Source organism: Homo sapiens, chromosome 11, assembly GCF_000001405.40.
Source record: "Homo sapiens chromosome 11, GRCh38.p14 Primary Assembly".
NCBI lineage: Eukaryota > Metazoa > Chordata > Mammalia > Primates > Hominidae > Homo > Homo sapiens.
The window spans coordinates 63,505,690-63,524,478 of record NC_000011.10 but is presented as its reverse complement, the minus strand read 5'-3'; the positions used below and the strand labels follow the sequence as shown (position 1 = coordinate 63,524,478).

The 18,789-nt window shown below is 47.9% G+C and overlaps 1 protein-coding gene and 1 pseudogene across 11 annotated transcripts, besides 1 other annotated feature; one reads left to right on the top strand and one right to left on the bottom strand.

Annotated features, from left to right (window-relative positions):
- TMSB4XP5 (TMSB4X pseudogene 5) lies at positions 3,527 to 4,045 on the top strand (annotated as a pseudogene).
- Positions 7,707 to 18,395, bottom strand: LGALS12 (galectin 12). Of its 11 annotated transcripts, none has more exons than NM_001142535.2 (9): positions 17,952 to 18,395; positions 15,838 to 15,926; positions 15,488 to 15,704; positions 14,582 to 14,701; positions 13,978 to 14,016; positions 13,374 to 13,400; positions 12,639 to 12,727; positions 8,766 to 8,916; positions 7,707 to 8,232 (listed from the first exon to the last, which is right to left on the bottom strand). In NM_001142535.2, exons 1-9 carry the CDS (start codon positions 18,018 to 18,020, stop codon positions 8,086 to 8,088), a joined length of 948 nt encoding a protein of 315 aa, NP_001136007.2. In that variant the 5' UTR covers positions 18,021 to 18,395; the 3' UTR covers positions 7,707 to 8,085. The 11 variants fall into 11 exon arrangements, 7 of the variants coding, with proteins under 7 accessions (NP_001136007.2, XP_016873947.1, NP_149092.3 ...); XM_017018458.2 differs by having other exon boundaries at positions 8,766 to 8,777; NM_033101.4 differs by having other exon boundaries at positions 15,488 to 15,701.
- Positions 13,615 to 14,246: an enhancer, noted in NCBI's record as "H3K27ac-H3K4me1 hESC enhancer chr11:63277705-63278336 (GRCh37/hg19 assembly coordinates)". NCBI's record gives its function as "activates a minimal SCP1, AML or CMV promoter by ChIP-STARR-seq in naive H9 embryonic stem cells {active_cell/tissue: H9 hESC(naive)}" and the evidence as "EXISTENCE:reporter gene assay evidence [ECO:0000049][PMID:30033119]".
- Positions 18,396 to 18,789: the final 394 nt, after the last annotated feature.

Below are 18,789 nucleotides of genomic sequence, written 5' to 3'. Positions count from 1 at the left end.
GCATGGTCCAAATGTGCCAGGTGACATGAGAAATGAGAGGAGTTTCTTATAAGAGCTTTTGCATTCAACTGTAAAATGGCAACCCACTCTGGCTCCCCTCTTCACTATGGAGAGCTTTCTTCTTTCGCTTATTAAACTTTTACTTCAACCTCACCCTTTGGAGCCATGCTCCTTAATTTTCTTGGTCATGAGACAATGAACTCAGATAACACTTCAGACAATGAGACCATTGACCATTGACCTGTTTCACTGTGAGGAGTCATATAAGTCAATAAGCCCAACCCATGTACACAAAGCTTCCAATTAGCATTTTAGTGCCTCACTCTTGAATATAAACAAACCACTTGGCTGGGTGCAGTGGCTCACACCTGTAATCCCAGCACTTTGGGAGGCTGAGGCAGGCAGATCACCTGAGGTCAGGAGTTCAAGACCAGCCTGGGCAACATGGTGAAAACCCATCTCTTGCAAAAATACAAAAATTAGCCTGGCTTGATGGCATGTGCCTGTATTCCCAGCTACCCAGGAGGCTGAAGCAGGAGAATTGCTTGAACCCAGGAGGCAGAGGTTGCAGTGAGCTGAGATCATGCCACTGCACTCTAGCCTGAGTGACAGAGCGAGACTCCATCTCAAACAAACAAACAAAAACAACAAAAACACAAACAACTAAGGATTGCCAGGCATTTGAGGAAATCCTCTAATTTGAAAGATAGACAGCAAAATACACAAATAACTAACAAATAAGCTTCAAGAAAACAAAGAAAATATGGCAAGCAGAAGAAAATTTACAAAAGCATCATTTATTGTTGAGCACCCGATTCTGTTGCTGTTCGGGGTGCCACTATGTAAACCGTATGGACCTAGGGGGACTGAAGAAAGGGTGGGGGGGTCGAACGTGGAATAAAAGACAAGAGACAAAAGAGTATATTAGGAAGAAGGGGTCGGGGGCAACTTGCCTCTAGTGGACAAGGGCGCTGAGCTTTACACAGCCCTCCATATTTATTAGGCAAAAGAGATAGTGAAAAGGGGGGTGGAAAAAGGGGTCAGAGTAGGCTTGCAAGACTGCATTCCCTAGATCTCCCAGTAGATAACCTCAAGGAACTTGGTGCCAGGAAGCGATTGCCCTCAGCAAACATTGTGTCGGCAGGAGCAGTCGTGAGTTTGCTCACATCCTGCATTTATGATAAACAGTTTGCTGTTTGATCATATAGCCTCCAGTGGAATGCTGAGTTGGTCACATCCCACGGGTCTTCGGCTCCCTATAATTTATATCATGGAAGAGAGAAGAGAAAATATATTCAGGAAACAAGAACAGGAGGCTATAAAAAAAGAAATATTTAGCTGGGCATGGTGGCTCATGACTGGAATCTTAGCACTGTGGGAGCCTGAGGCAGGTGGATCACTTGAGGTCAGGAGTTTGAGACCAGCCTGGCTAACATAGCGATACCTCATCTCTACTAAAAATACAAAAATTAGCCAGGAGTGGTGGAGCACACCTGTAATTCCAGCTACTCAGGAGGCTGAGGCATAAGAATCACTTGAACCTGGGAGGTGGAGGCTGCAGTGAGCTGAGATTGCGCCACTGCATTCCAGCCTGGGTGACAGAGTTGAGACTCTCTCAAGAAAATATATATAAATAAAATTAAATTAAATTAAAAAAGAAACATTTAGGGAATAAGATAGTAGTTTTGGTTTTCTTGCTGAAAAATTGAAACTGAATCTGATCAAAACTCTAGATGAAAAGAAGTACAGGAGACAGTGGAGTATTTTAAACAATGCCCTAGGGATTAACCAGCAGAATTCAGACTCTGAGAAGCTCTATAAGGAAAAGTTATCAGTTTTATCCCCAACAATAAAATGTAAGAAAAAAAGAAAGGAAGATGGAATCTATGGATTAAAGACCTAGAGTACATATAAACAATTGATGACCTTGCACAGAAAAGAGACAATCCAGAATCTAAGGCTATGATAGTATTGATGGATGGATAAGTAAAATTATAAGCTAATTTATGAACTTAATGCAAGAACAGTAGTATCAGTAAATGAAATGCAGCAATGTATTCATTAAAAATTCATTTACTCCAGGAATTTAAGGAATTTAAAGATACTTATAGCATGAAATTAGAAAGCCTATTAATGTAATTTACCTCATTAACAGATTAGAAAAAATATGATCATATCAGTAAACGCAGAAGACAGACTTGACACTCACTCATGAAAAAAATGAAAGTGTATCTTAACAAACTAAGAAAAAATGAAAATCTCTTTACCCTAAAAATAGTATCTATTCCCAACCTATGATAATCATCATATTTAATAGTGAAATCTTAATTGCATTTCCCTGTGGTCAGGAACAGGTCAAGGATGCCTGCTAACCACACTGCTACTCAACAGTGTGCAAGAATTCTTGGCCAATGTCATATAATAAAGGAAGCATGAGGGAGAGAGGAAGGAAGCGAGGGAATGTGGTTGGGAGTGGGGGGAAGAGTGAGAGACAGAGAGGGAGAGGGAGATTGGAAAGGAAGAAATCAGAAATCATTATTTTTTGCAAGTGGTAAGATTACCTATCTGTTTGTTTGTTTATTTATTGAGACAGAGTCTTGCTCTGTCCCCCAGCCTGGAGTGCAGTGGTGTGATCTCGGCTCACTGCAACCTCTGCCTCCTGGGTTCAACAGATTTTTGTGCCTCAGCTTCCTGAGTAGGCAGGATTACAGGCATGTGCCACCATGCCCAGCTAATTTTTTGTATTTTTAGTAGAGACGGAGTTTCGCCATGTTGGCAAGGCTGGTTTCAAACTCCTGACCTCAAGCGATCCACCTGCCTCGGCCTCCCCAAGCGCTGGGATTACAGGTGTAAGCCACTGTGCCAGGGCAAGATTGTCTATTTGAACTAATAAAATATATATAATTTTAGCAAGTTTGCTAGGAACGAGATTAATATACATAAATCAGGTGCATTTTTGTACCAGTATCAAGTAAGTACAATTTTTTAAAAAGATAGCATTTACAAATCACACACAAAGCTATAAAGTGCCTAAGTATAAATCTAACAAAAGTTGTGCGATGCCCCAGTAAAAACAAACACACACATCTTATGTTACCAGAGCAACCCTGGAGACATAGCTGAGAAAGCTTGTTATTTTCTTAAACAGTAGATAACTAAGAAAGCTCATTGTTCTTCCTTAAACAGGTTTTTAAATCATTTTACCTACAGGTATGTTTGCTTAAGAGAACTTCAGATGGCCCAGGAGGCTGCTGGAGCCTCAGGACTCTTTGGCAATTACTAGAGGAAGATAAGGTCAGAGCAAGACCCCAGCAAACTGAGCTGGTGATGCCTTGTTACCTTCAGATCATTAACGTATCATTATAATGCTAAAGTCCTGTATTAGGCCACGCAGCTGATAAAGACATATCTGAGACTAGGCAATTTACAAAATAAAGAGGTTTAATTGGACTAATAGTTCCACATGGCTGGGGAAGCCTCACAATCATGGTGGAAGGCAAAGAGGAACAAGTCACATCTTACATGGATGGCAGAGGCAAAGAGATAAGTCGAAACTGAAGAAGACAGAAGTGCAAGAGAAAAATCCACTGCCTTCCAAAGAAATGATTGAACAGGAGAAGCAAGCTGGTGAATCGTAATGAGGCATGTGCTGCCAATATGCACTGTACATTCCACAAGCATTGCTTTCTTATTTTACTTATTTTAGCTGTTTAACTTTGTAAGATGCATAGAGGTTGGATCAAGTTTAAATGACTCTGCTGCCCCTTTCACACCAAAGAACTACTGACAATGAAGGCCAAGCCTGCCACTCCCATCTGACTTTCTGGCTGGCAGAAAAGGAAAGAACGTGCATGTTGGTGAAGGAAGAAGTGGGGTGGAAAAAGTGGGGTGGGACAACAATGAAATCTAGAGTAAAACCAAGCTGGCCCAAGGTGTCATGCAGCCTGTAATACTGTTTAATCAGAGTGCCATTTTTTTTTTGTTCAAATGATTTTAAGTATTGGAATGCAAAATTTTCAAAAATATGCAAATAGAAGTTTAAAAACTTTTTTAAAAAAAGGGGGGGACTCCTCTTTTTAAAACCATCAGATCTCAGGAGACTTATTCATTATCACGAGAACAGCCTGGGAAAGGCTTGCCCCCATGATTCAATTACCTCCCACTGCGTCCCTCCCACAACACATGGGAATTCAAGATGAGATTTGGGTGGGGACATAGCCAAACCATATCAAATCCCCACCCCTAGAAGAAAATTGCTGCCATTTTCTGAACATACCTCATATGAAGAAGCATGTTTATGATCTGTAACTGCACATCTGGAGTTCCTCCCTGTACATGCTTACATACATACCTCCCCGCCCCACATCTAATTCCTTAAAGTTCCCTGGATTCCATCACCTTCGGAAGGGGTTCTTTAGAAAAAGAGCTCACTCCTCCGTTCCTGACCAGCAATAAAATCTGCTTGCCTTTTTTTCCAATTGGATATTCTTTCTTGGCTATCAATACAAAGTAAGGAAAGAACTTGGTTTCCCAGTGACAGAAGGAAATAAAGGATGACCAAAATAAATTGAGGGATATACTGTATATATGATTGGGAAGAAGCAATGTAGAGATGCAAGCTCCTCTGTGCCCCTAAAAATCTATACACAGAATACATTTTAATAAAAATATCCTATAAAACATTTGTGGAAATTGAGGTTTATCTTCTTTTAAAAAATAATTTCAACTTTTATTTTAGATTCAGAGAGTACCTGTGCAGGTTTGTATATTGTGTAAAGCTGAGGTTTGGGGTGTGAATTATCCCGTCACTCAGGTAGTGAGCATAATACCCAATGGTTTTTCAACCCTTTCTCCCATTCCTTCCTTCTTTTCTCCCTCCAGTCTAGTAGTCCCCAGAGTCTATTGCCATCTCTTTGTCCATGACCACCCAATGTTTAGCTCCTACTTATAAGTGAGAATATATGGTATTTGGTTTTCTGTTCTTCTGTTAATTCACTAAGGATAATGGCCTCCAGCTGCATCTATGTTGCTGCAAAGGACATAGTTTCATTCTTTTTTATGACTGTGTAGTAATCCATGGTGTATATGCACCACATTTTCTTCATCCAATCCTCTGTTGACAGGCACCTAGGTTGATTCCATGTCTTTGCTATTGTGAATAGTGCTGCAATTAACATACAAGTCCGGCTGGGCATGGTGGCTCACGCCTGTAATCCCAGCACTTTGGGAGGCCGAGGTGGGCGGATCACGAGGTCAGGAGATCAAGACCATCCTGGCTAACATGGTGAAACCCTGTTCTACTAAAAAAAAAAAAATACAAAAAATTAGCCGGGCATGGTGGTGGATGCCTGTAGTCCCAGCTACTCGGGAGGCTGAGGCAGGAGAATGGCGTGAACCTGGGAGGTGGAGCTTGCAGTGAGCCAAGATCGTGCCACTGCACTCCAGCCTGGGTGACAGAGCAAGACACCGTCTCAAAAAAAAAAAAAAAATGCAAGTCCAAGTGTCTTTTTGGTAGAATGATTTTCTTTTGGATGTATACCCAGTAATGGGATTGCTGGATCAAATGGTAGTTCTGTTTTAAGTTCTTTGAGAAATCTCCAAAGTGCTTCTCACAGTGACTGAACTAATGTACATTCCCACCAACAGTGCATAAGCATTTTCTTTTCTCTGCAGGCTCACCAGCATCTGCTGTTTTTGACCTTTTAATAATAAACATCCTGACTGGTATGAGATGATATCCTCTTGTGGTTTTGAGTTGCATTTCTCTGACGATTAGTGATGATGAGCATTTTTTCATGTGTTTATTGGCCACTTGTATGTCTTCTTTTGAGACCTGTCTATCATGCCTTTTGTCCACTTTTGGATGGGGTTTTTTCTTGTTAAGCTCCTTATAGATTCAGGATATTAGACCTTTGTGGGATGTACACTTTGTGAATATACTATTTTTCTCTCATTCTGTGTGGTGTCTGTTTATTCTGTGGATAGTTTCTTTTGCTGCCCAGAAGCTCTTTAATTAGGTCCCACTTGCCAATTTTTGTTTTTGTTGCCATTGCTTCTGAGGACTTAGTCACAAATTCTTTTCCAAGATCAGGGTCCAGAATGGTGTTTCCTAGGTTTTCTTCTAGGATTCTTATAGTTCAAGGTCTTACTTTAAATCTTTAATCCATCTTGTGTTAACTTTTGTACATGGTGAATGGTAGAGGTCCAGCTTTAAAATGTGTTAGACTGGGTAACTTATAAACAACAAATTTATTGTTGACAGTTCTGGAGGCTGGAAAATTCAAGAGCAAAGCACTGGCAGATTTTGTTTCTGGTGAAGGCCTGCTTCCCATTTCATAAACGCCTGTTTTCTTGCTGTAATCTCACATGGTGGTAGGGGTGAGGGAGCTCTCTGGAGTCTCTTTTATTTTATTTATATATATATATTTTTTTTTTGAGACAGAGTCTGGCTCTGTCACACAGGCTGGAGTGCAGTGGTATGATGTTGGCTCAATGCAATCTCTGCCTCCCGGGTTCAAGCGATTCTCCTGCCTCAGCCTCCTGAGTAGCTGGGATTACGGGCGTGTGCCACCATGCGCAGCTAATTTTTGTGTTTTTAGTAGAAACGGGGTTTTGCCATGTTGGCCAGGCTGGTGTCGAACTCCTGACTTCAGGTGATCTGCCTGCCTTGGCCTCCCAAAGTGCTGGGATTACAGGCGTGAGCCACCTCGCCCGGCCTGGAGTCTCTTTTATAAGGGCACTAATCCCATTCATGAAGGCTCCACCTTCATGACCTAATCACCCTCCAAAGTCCCCACCTCCAAACACCATTTCCTTGGGTGCTAGGATTTCAACATATAAATTTTAGTTGGGAGGACACAAACATTCAGACCATGGCACATATATTACTGTATAATGTATACTATGCTATATATATGTATATATGGTATATATTATATACAGTTATATATAATTCTTAAATTATTTCTCATTTAATCTTGCTCTTTCCTTGGTGGTGGTCCTTCGTTTGTCTTGTCTGTACTTTTCGACTTGCAAGGTTCTTTGATTCCTCTCAAGCCTCCAGCTCCGATGTCCATCTTTATCTGGAAGCTCTAGTGTGCCTGTGTACTCTAGATAATGGTTTATGGTTAAGAGCCGCAAACTCTGCAGACAGAATCCCTGGGTTCTAATCCCATGACTTACTCACTGTGTGATCTTGGCAAATTAGCCTTTCTGTGCGTCAGTTTCTTATGTTATAAAATGAGGATATTAACAGCATCTACTTGTCTCAGAGACTGTGGCTATCCACCAAAATCCATTCTCCCTGTTTTTTATAGTAATAGAATAAAACTATTCTGTTATTTTATGACTACTCTATTTCATGTGGCTGGTCTTATGTGTCCCACTGAAGAACATTTCCAGCCTCCCTTGCAGGTAGTGTGACCGAGACTGAGTGCCTGCAGATGAAATGTGACTGTAGCTGGTGTGTGTCGGACCCATGTCTGGGGCTTATGATATCAGGTGGGTCTTGTCCACTGCCACTACTAGCCTTCTCAGTGGGTGAGGCCAAGATAGGGTGGCAGCTGAGCTTGGGCCACAGAGACAATGATGATGCCCTGGGGGTGGTGGAACAATGGCTAGGACAGACCCTGAATGTCTCCAGGGAGCAGAGCTGCCCTGCTAAGCTGGACCATTGTCTCTAGAATTGCTAGATGAGAACGAAATAAATAAATAACCTTATTTATTTATTTGACCACAAATAAATAAATAATAAAGAATAAATGACCACATTCTTTAAGCCATTGTATTTTGGAGTATCTTTGTTAGTCTACAACACTTGCCTCTGTGAGTGCAGTCCAGGCCCTGAAGGCAGATGGAGCCATATCCCAGGCTCCTGGTGGAGGAAGGTGCAGAGTTCGAGGAACCTTTGCACTCTTGTGCCTTCCCTCAGGCCCAAAGCTCCTGTAGACTCAGTCTCGTGACCCCAGAGGTGAACCAGGCCTGATGTGCTGGTGTCAGGTGGATGGTTTAATGAGGGGAGGAGAGTGGGGCCCTGGGAGTGGGCTGACCTTCTTGTTTTCTGGCGGTATTTCCCTGGAACCATCCTCAGGAGTGGACACAGTAGAGCTGGACACTTCCACTGATCCGGAGCTCCCGCAGCTGCTCCAGGGCCTGCTGGTTCATGCTGGTGGCCCCCAGCCCCTGCCCATTGAGCGCCAGCTTCAGCCCTCCCTCCTGGAACAGGAGCAGCACCTGGGAAAGGAGGACATGAGGGGGTTGCAGCTTCCAGCCAGACTTTCCCTTGTCTGCCTGACGCTCTCTCCAGTGAGACCCTCCTCCTCTCATAGGACACGAAGACTGGACCCAGGGGGCACCCAGTACAGTGCTGGAAAAGAACAGGATAAGGGGCCCGGCTTGTCACCAGCCCACTGTGGTCTTTGACAAGGATCTTCCCAGCCTTGGGCCTCAGTTTCACCACCTGTAACTGGGGCTGCTTCCTGTAGAGGAGTGGTTCTGCACGTCGGAATCATTAGGGGAGCTTTTTAATAAAGCTGATGCCTGGGCCCCCCCCCACCTGCATCAATTGAGTTTCTGGCCATGGGATCCCTGGCATCAGAGTGGAGCGTTGAGGACTGCTGTACAGACATTCGCTGTGCTCTGCTGGCTCTGGCCTCCCACCCCATAACATCTGTCCTGCACACCTGCCCCAGCATCTCCCAGGTCATTATGGGACTTCAGCTCTGTGCTCCAGCCTGAAGGGATGTAATCATTTGGCTCTGACCTACCTCAAAGAATCTCTGGGGGTAAAAGAGGAAGGGGGCTGAGATCAGTTTCTTCTGCCCCCAGCGGGAGATCCAGGCCAGAGTTCTGTCTGCGAAGGAGGCCCTGAGTGTCACAGGAGCATGGGCAGCCTGGTCCCTCAGGCTCACAGTAAAACTGCAGGAAGCAGGAGGAAGGAGAAGGAATCAGCGCCCATTGCCCATAGGCCGCTGCTCAGCCCCCAGGGGAAGGATGGAGGTCAGGGAGTGGATGGAAGGTTGAGCTGCTTCAGCCTCCAGAAACAAGCACTGAGGGCCTATGACAGCCTCATGGCTGAATGCTCAGAACAGTGGAAAGAACACGAGTTCTAGATGAACTTGAGATTGACCTCCAGGGTTGCCATCTATGACTACAGGAGGATGGGGGTGGGAGGGAAGTGTGTGAAAATTGCCTAGCCTGAGCTTCAGTTTCTCCTCCTGAAAATGGGGATGATTATGATGATGATAGCTACAGCTAACATTTATTGAATGCTAACTAAGTGCCAGGTATTATCTTAAATGTTTTCCAAACAGCATAGTGGTTAGAGTCAGGCAGTCCCGATTCAACCCTGGCTCTGCTACTTTCTAGTCCTGTGACCTTGGGCAAGACTCTTAATCTCTCTGTGCCTCAGTTTCCTCATCTGTAATGTGACGATAACATAACTGCCCTGTACCTGCCTGTGGCATTGTTGTAAGAATTAAATGAATACATAAAAAAATGCTTATTTAGAATAGCACCTGGAACGTAATAAGCATTCAGATGATACCTATTGTTTAAAAATATTGCTATATAATACAATCTCTACCTCATAGAGCCAAAAAAAAAAAGGAACAAAGGAGATAATGTATGTGAAAACTAGCAATTCCTAGCACACAGTAGGTGTTTTACAGAAGCTAGTTTGCCTTTCCTTAATCCTCACAAATTCTGTGCTGTGAGGTTTGTCAGCCCATTTAAGTGATGAGGACAAGAAGTTAAATGACTTCTCTGTTACTAGTAATAGTGGTAGGGCCTTAGGTTAGGATGTGAACTAGGATTCATGACTCTAGATTTGGGGGTGGGGGGATCTGGCACCTGCCTCTCAAATAGGGCAACCGGATTATATTATTTTTCTTTATTTTATTTTATTTTTTTGAGACAGAGTCTTGCTCTGTCACCAAGCTGGAGTGCAGTGGCACGATCTCGGCTCACTGCAACCTCTTCCTCCCAGGTTCAAGCAGTTCTCCTGCCTCAGCCTCCGGAGTAGCTGGGACTACAGGCGCATGCCCGCACCGCCCAGCTAATTTTTGTATTTTTAGTAGAGATGGGGTTTCACTATGTTGGCCAGGGTGGTCTCGATCTCTTGACCTTGTGATCTGCCCACCTTGGCCTCCCAAAGTGCTGGGATTACAGGCTTGAGCCACCGCGCCCGGCCCAGATTATTTTTATGTCTTGGGAACTTCCCAAGTTTCCTTCTTGAAGAGCTATGCTGGAGAAGGCGCGGCATCCTGATGGGATGCAGAGGCAGGTAAGGTAGGGGAAAAGGCCGCCCTGGACAGGCCTTTCAAGGGCTATTGGTAGATCCTTACAGGAGGAGGCCCCGTAAGTTTCCAACTTTGGGAAGGAGGTGGCCAGGGCCCAATGTTGGGAAGAAGCTTGGAAGGCAGGAACCCTGGAGAGTGGACTGCGTGGAGCCTCCAGCCCCACTATGGCTCCCCCTACCCCGTCCTGCCAGACAACACTGTGTCTTCCTCTGGCCTGCGAACTCCTGGTGAGGAGGCCTCAGTGTCTCCCTACCTCACCTTCATGCAGCTCAGCCCGCCAGATCACTGGATAATCATGAATCACTAGATGCCCACTAGATCACTGAATAATCACAAATCACCAGATGCCCAGTGAAGCTCTGTTGAAGCTCTTTGAGGCTGCAGTCATACACTCCCACTCAATAACGAGGAGGGAAGGGATGAGGTGAAGAAGGAGGGATAGATTTTCACTGCAGATGAATCCTGTGCCCTCCATCTCTTACTCTCTCTGCCCCATTCAAGCCATCAGTTGCTTTCACAAAATAGCAGCAGCTGCATTGGTTGCAGCCTCGCTAAATACCAGGTGCTGTGCTAAATCTTCATGTTGGTGGATCTCGGCTGAACTGGTGTATAGGAATGTTTTGTCTGGTCCATAGTATTCTTCAACTTTAATATAATATTCAAAAATTGAGAGAGTTTATATAAAAGATGGCTTCTATTTTTGCTTTAAAAATAGTCAGAAGATCTGGCATGACTGGGTGTATGGAGATACTCCTTCCCCTTTACCACCTTCCCAACTGGTTTCCTCACTATTTATGAGACCTGTCTGGCCTCTGAGGACACATGCATTCATGGCCCTTGGGAAACAGCAGTTACTTGCTGACTATGTCACTAGTAACCTTGTGACTTTGAGCTACAATATGAACCCGGTCTCATGCCTCCAAGTTTTGTGGGAAGAAGTGTTCCATCACTGAGCACTTTTCATTTTCCCTAGCAGGTTGGAATTATCATTCACCTTTTTCCGGTAGGGAAACTCAGACTCAGAGAGGTTTAGTGACTGGCCCACGACCGCACTGTTTATAAGAGACAAAACCAGGAATCCAACTCAGTCATGCCTGTCTTTGGAGGCCGAGGCCATCGAGTGCTGGGCTTCATGCCTGTCCCAGAATTCACAGGCATGATCGGCAGTGTGCAGGGCAAGGGTTTAGTGAGGTCAGTGACTTAAAAATAAAAACAAAATTAAGCAAGGAGAACATAGGGTGCTTTCCTTACTCTGCCCTCCCCTACCTCCACTGAGATGATTGCAGTAGTACCCACATTTGTGGACACTTACCATGTACCAGGCACTATTCTAAGTACCACCCCTAAAGTCGGCATTATTATCAACCCCCTCTATCTTTTTTTTTTTTTTTTGAGATGGAGTCTTGCTCTATTGCCCAGGCTGGAGTGCAGTGGCGCGATCTCGGATCACTGCAACCTCTGCCTCCCGGGTATAAGCGATTCTCCTGCCTCAGCCTCCTGAGTAGCTGGGATTACAGGCATGCGCCACCATGCCCGGCTAATTTTTCTATTTTCAGTAGAGTCAGGATTTCACCATGTTGGTCAGGCTGGTCTCCAACTCCTGACCTCGTGATCCACCCGCCTCGGCCTCCCAAAGTGCTGGGATTATAGGTGTGAGCCACCGCGCCCGGCCTATCATCCCCTTCTTACAGAGAGGAAAACAGAGGCACAGAGAGGAAAAGTATCTGTCCTAAGGTTGCACAAGTAGGTGTCCTGAGCACATGCCAACCCAGGCATTCTGGCCCAGAGAAGTCATAAACTCTAATGCGTTTCCTCAAGGCAGGCCGGCCAGTGGCTCCTGTCTAACTGGATTGGAGCCACAGGTCTGGGTTTGAAAGCACCATGTAGGAGAAGTTTGGTAATGTCCACTTAGTCACTGGGTCCCTCCAAGTCCTGGCTTCCAAATACCAGCCCTCTTCTCTGGGGCAGTCTGGCTGTATCTTTTGAACCACACATTGTGTTACCATAGGAAGCTACATGTTTGCTCTGGGCCTCAGCCTGCACCTACGAAGGGCCTTTCCTGGGGCCCCTTTCCTAGGACCTGGGACAAGAGGCTAGGCCTGACTAGATGTACCAGCAGGAATGATGCTCCCAGCAGTGGGGCTGTCGGTCCCAGTCCCAGCCTGACCTTCATAAGCTCTGCCAAATTGGGCCACTTCTCCTTTCTGCTCCTCTGTTTCCTCATCTGTAAAATGGGGATTAAATGGTGGTGCTAGGAGATTAAAAGAGATGATGTTTTATAGCATGTGACTGTCACAGAGAGGCTGCTCCCTCCCCTCCACTTAGATGCTGGATACTTACTGCTTCGGCTCTTGCAAGACCAGTCCCCGTACTATGATGACCTGCCCAGGCGAGAGACCCTGGGGAAGAGCATGTGAGCAGGGCACCTCCTGAAGGAACAAGGGAGGTATTGAGAAGTTGACTTCCAGGGGGACTGGGGAGGACCGCCCATCCCCGGGGGCCAGGGGAGCACTGGGGCAGGCATGTTCTGCCCAGGCCTGCCGCCAGGACACGCTGCTTATTTGTTAAGCACCTGGCCTCCTGTACTCTGTTATTGCCGAACACTTTCCCCGGCCTGTCCAGGCTGAGCTTGGCCTCTCTGTGTCCCGACCACCATGTCCTTCTCCCTTCACTGCATCCTTAACTGTAATTGCCATCTAGTGGTCTGTCCCCCACCAGCCTGTGAGCAACTGGACGGCTGGGACCAGCTTGTTCCTCTATCCTAGAGCCTGGCACCGGGCCTGGCACAGAGAAGTATCAAGTAATGATGTTCACAATAAGTGGAGAAAAGGTAAAATGAAGCTGGAGCTTCAGCCTGAAGCTGCCCAGCCCACCCACAGCCTGCAGCTTGCTATAAAGGAAGGGGAAATCATGCGGCTGGGGGCATAAGCTGCCTGGCCCACCCACAGCCTGCAGTTTTCTATAAAGGAAGGGGAAATCCTGAGGCTGGGGGCATGTCCTACCAGGCTGAGCTCATTAGCTGCTCACCCAGGCTGCGCCCCCAGCCCTGACAGAGCAGGAGGGAGGTTCACTCACCAGCCTGGGGCTCATCAGCAGGAAAGGCTGTCAGGGAAAGAAAGAGAGGACACAAGGCCATGTGGTATTTGCTCAGGAAAAGGGAAACTCTTGTTATTCTAACAAATTGGGAATATTTGGGGCTTGTCTCTCTCACAGCAGTAGGTGAGTCATTGGAGCCCCAGTGGGATCCTCTGGACTTCAGAGGTTCACCAGCGCTGGAATAATAGGGAAGAACGGGGTGGAGGATTTGTCATCCACTCCCTGTGTGGCCTTGGGCAGTACATGGGCCTCATCTCCCCTTCTGTCCCGCAAGACCAACCCCAGCCACCTTGCAGAGGTGGTTTGAGAAATGAGCATTTCAACTAAGGCCTCTCCTGCTAGGAATACGGGGTCTTGCCCCCTCTGCATGCAGCCCACCCCCATTCATCTTCCCAAGCTGGGCCTGGAGAGGGGCTGGGAGAGGAAAATCCAGGCCCTCCAGAGACTGAAGCAGAGCCAGCCATGTCCGTGGCAACCGCAGCAGTGAGGGAAGGGGCAGCTGGGCCTTGTGTAATGGGAGCAGCAGTCCAGAAGGGCGGGTCAGCTGGTGTGGCTGCTCAGACCTTGCTGCCAAGAAACTCACATGTCCAGCTGGGTACTCTCTGCTGCCCTCCACAAATGGCTGTTCAGAAAGAGAGAAAAGAATCAGCAGCATTTAGGACCACTGCAATCCCCTACCTATGCCTGGGAGGTGGGCAGAGCCCTGGCCTTTACAGCTCCTCATGTTCCCATTCGGCTGGTCAGTGGTAGCTTCTTGCTGGCATTTTGAACATCCCAATTCCTAGGCCCCACCTTGGACTTACTGAATCAGAATCTCTGGTGGCAAGCCCCAGAAATCTGGGCTTTAATAAGCCCATCAGGTGGGAATGATAAAGCCAGCTGCCACCCGTTTCGGCCCCCAGTGTGCCAAATCATTCCTGGCCATTGCTTCTCAGTGTTAACCAGACCCACACTGGTTACAGACTCCTGCCTGCGGCTCCTGGACACCCTTTCTGCCATCACTTTCTCTTCCCCCTCAGCCCACTCACACCCGAAACCTCAGTGGACTCCCTCCCCCTTGGCTATTACTGGTGCACAGGGCGTCCTCTCTCTCAGTCTAGGGTGGAGGAAGGGGTCCCAGGCCCGTCCAGGAGTCAGGGGAAATTAGAGGCTGCCACTGCCCAGGCCTTGGTCCCAAGGAAACTTACATTGATGTTCAGGAATCCAACAGCCTCTACCAGGATGTCACCAAATATACCCAGCGTGTCCACATGAGACAGTGGGAGCCGGTAGCGGAAGTGGAGAAAGTGCTGTCCATTCACACTCACCTGGAGAGACAGACAGAGGCTGGCTTATCAGCAGCTAATGTTCATTGAGTTCATAACAATGTCCCAGGCATTGCCAAGCACTTTTTCCTCAATTTTGCCTCACTTAACTTCACGTCATCTCTATGAGGTAGGTACATTTTACAGAGCCTTGGGCGGCTTAAGTAATCTTCCAAAGGTTGCAGAGCTGGCCTGGAGACTAAGGCACCTTCAACGCTCCCTCTACCCCAACAGAGGCCCCTCATTGTGCTTTCTCAGCAGCCCAAAGAGTCATCTTTGCTCCATTTACGTGAGGAAACTGAGGCTCAAGAGGCTACCCTCCCGCCAGCTGCCCTGTCTCCTGGAGATGTCTGAAGATCCCATCATGTTTCTGGCAGGAGCTCACATTAGGGGTCTAAACCTTGAGATCAAGTTCTCTGTCCCTCTCCCCTGCCACTGTGGCTGTAAGATGGGGATAATGAAGGTACCTACCTAATGGGGTTATTGTGAGCATTCAATGAGCAGATACTTTTAAGGGCTTAGAACAGTTCCTGGTATACAGTAGGTTCTCTCTAAGTGCTTGCCATGACTATGGCAGGAGTGCCCTCTTTGGAGCCAGGCACTGTAGAGCTTTCTTGCTGCCATGTGGGCCCAGGGCAGCCTGGAACCGGGCATGGCAGCTCCTTGGTCCTCTTGGTACCTGACCACTACCAATGCCACTCAACATTGTGTCGTGGGGAGTCTGGCTGAGGGAAGGAAGGGCGCAAGGACACAAATTCTAGACCACCCAATGCCCGTCCCTTCCTTCACCTTCACTTCCTCATTCCCGAAGAGAAAGAGGATGAGGAAGCTGGAGCCTCTTCGCAGGGCCAGGTGGGGCCACCGGGCCTCCCTTTGCCAGCGTCCACCATGCAGGGTGTTGCAGATGACATGGGGCTTGGTGGTATGGAAGCGAGGGTTGAAGTGGAAGGCGATATCTGGCCGGGGACACAGGCTGCAGCCACACTGGAAGTCCACCTGAAACCTACTGGGAGGTGAGGCTCTCAAAGTGCGGTTCTGACCAGAGACCCACAGAGATCTCAGTGGCAGGGAGGAGCCCTCCAGCTCGATGCCTCTAGGGCTGAGCTCCAGCACCCCCTGGGCCACCTCCCCCGCCTTACCTGTGTGCATCTAGAGGGACCACTCCTTGCAGCATGACCATCTTGCCTGCATGCAGGCCTCCAAAAATCGTCGTGACATAAGGAACCACCTGAACAAGAAAAGAAACTCATCCATGCAGGTTTGGAGAAAGGGCTTAGGGACCTCTATGTCAGGCGAGTGGGAGGAAAGGAGCAGAATAAAACTCAACTTTTCCTCTCCAAACAGAAAATTCCTTATAGGTAAAAATCAGTGTTCACTGAAATATTTTCTTCCACCTAATCCCCTTTCCTGGACCGTCACACGGCAAAGCTGCATTACACCAGAGAAGTCAAATTCCGCTCCCTTGCCAAATTCAGCACCAGCCAGTTGCCTTTCCCCAGCTCCTAGGACACAACAGGCTGCAGTGACCCCAGGGAGGCTTGCCATCCACTAGATGTCACCCTGGTCCCCAGAAGCCTGGTACTGGGGCTTTCTGAGGACTGTTGAGTGGCTGGAGACTAGGAACTGGGAGGCAAGAAGAATGGACAAGTTAGGAACTGACAGCTAACTCTGAAATGGACCCCTGGAGAGGCACTTAACAATGGCCTTCCCAGGCTCACCTTTCCCCATGTAGAAGTTACCTGGGCTGGGCTCTGTGGCTCATGCCTGTAATCTCAGCACTCTGGGAAGCTGAGGCGGGTGGATCAACTTGAGGTCAGGAGTTCGAGACCAGCTTGGCCAACATGGTGAAACCCTATCTCTACTAAAAATACAAAAATTAGCTGGGTGTGGTGGCATGCACCTCTAATCCCAGCTACTCAGGAGGCTGAGGCAGGAGAATTGCTTGAGCCTGGGAGATGGAGGAGGTTGCAGTGAGCTGAGATCATGCCACTGTACTTCAGCCTGGGCGAAAAAGCAAGACTTGGTCTCAAAAAAAAAAAAAAAAAAAAAAAAAAAGAAGTTGCCTGGCCTTCCTAAAATACATCATACAGTTTTACAACTTCCTGCCTTTTCTGGGCTGTTCCTCCTGTCTCTTTCCACCCTGACTCTTTCCAAGCATCATCCACTTGGGTTCCTTGGATTATTCCTTTCTTCCCCTGAGCTCCCAGGGCATTTTGCTCATGTGGCTGGCTTGGCCCTTGGCTTAGAGCGACTGGTTGGCTTTTTTCCCTAGTTTATAAGCCCCTCAAAACTGAAGCCTTCTCTTTCCCTCCTGTAGGCTCAGTGCCTCACCTGACGCCGTGAGGGCTCTGCATAGATGTGTTTGGAATGAATGTGAGCAGGATGGCAGGTACATACCAGTGGTATCACAGGATTGGCCTTCCTGTGTTGCTCTCTAACTCCCAACAACCTTTAGGAACCCAAACCACCTAGAAAAAACTGAAAACCACCAGGATGGCCCTCCAGGTGCGAGCTCTCAGCCTCTAAAGCAAGGAGCTGCCGTAACCTGGGCAGCTGCTTCAGCCCATTCCTCAGGCACCTGAGAAGCATGGGAGGGAGGCTTGGGATGCCAGCTTGGCAAGCTCAGCTGGTTGGTTCAGCAGTTGATCACTTCCCATTCCCAGGCTCCCTCCAGGCCTGTAATTAACTGAGTGGATGCAGCTCTCATGGGAGGGGAGGGCCAAGTAAGGGAAAGTGATAATTAATGCTCATTAGTAGGGGGTGTCTGCTGGGAATTCAGCCTTCTGTAAATCATTGCCTGGCTTCAGAAAACCTCTTGGGCACTGACTGAGCTGGAGGAGAAAGAGAGAAACACCCCCAACCCCTATCCCTGAGTGGAAATTCCCACCTGACCCTTCCTTCCAGGCTGGGGATGAGACTGTCCTTACTAAGTAATCAGCATTCCCCCAACAATCCTACCCCCACACCCTCATCCTCCTAGCATCCATTACAGTAGGGGCAGAGCACTGTGGCTCCAGGCTTCGCCACTTTCAAAATGCAGTGACCCTGGAAGCCTAGCAGTCATTTACACCCAAGTGGGAATTAGCAGTCAGCCACTTTACTAAGCTCAGGAGGGCCTTCCAGAACCCAGGGCAGGTGCTGGGAGAAGCAGAAAGACTGAGGTCCTTTCCACCCCACCACCCAGGAGTGTGGGCCCAGTTGGAAGGGAAGAGCCCAGAGACCGAGGAGGTTCCACATTAGAGTGACAACTCACCGGGTGGAAGACTGGTGGTTGCAGAATGAAGCTGTCAGGAATTGGGTCCAGTTTTTCTCCAGGTGACATGACAGTGGGGCAACTCCAACTGTAGATCCTCGTTCCAGGAGCCCTGCCCCCACTGGGCTGACTCATCTGCCCCAGTCAGGGTCCTAAATGCCTGGAGCAGCTCTCCCAGCTGTTAGTCTCACCTGCGACCTGCAGCGTTTTAATGCTGTCTGGAGCAGCCCTAGGAGGGCAGCGGGCGACCTCCAGGCTCCACACCAGCCCCACTCCCGGTGGTATACAGCAGAGCTCTGGCTGGGCGGGGGCTGTCAGCAGAACTCAGTGTCCAGGGGAGGAAGACTGGCATTAACCAACTAACTACCCACTCCGGGTCTGCAGCACATGGCCATTGCAGAGAGAAGCCAGAGGCTGGCTCCTGTGGGGCCAACGAGGGTTTGTGGTTTCCAACTCGAGCCCTCATTAGGTCAGAGGAAGGGGAGGTGGTACGTGTGCTTAGGTTCCAGAAACAGCCCCACCCCCAGCTCCCTGGACAGCCTTGGGTGACTTCCCATTCCTTCCTCCCTTCACCACAAAGGGTTTTATCTCTTCCCCTCATTTTCTTTTTTTTTTTTTTTTTTTGAGATGGAGTCTTGCTCTCTTGCCAGGCTGCAGCGCAGTGGCGCGATCTCAGCTCACTGCAGCCTCCGCCTCCTGGGTTCAAGCAATTCTCCTGCCTCATCCTCTCTGGGACTACAGGCATGTGCCACCACGCCCGGCTAATTTTTGTATTGTTAGTAAAGACTGAGTTTCACCATGTTGGCCAGGATGGTCTCGATATCCTGACCTCGTGATC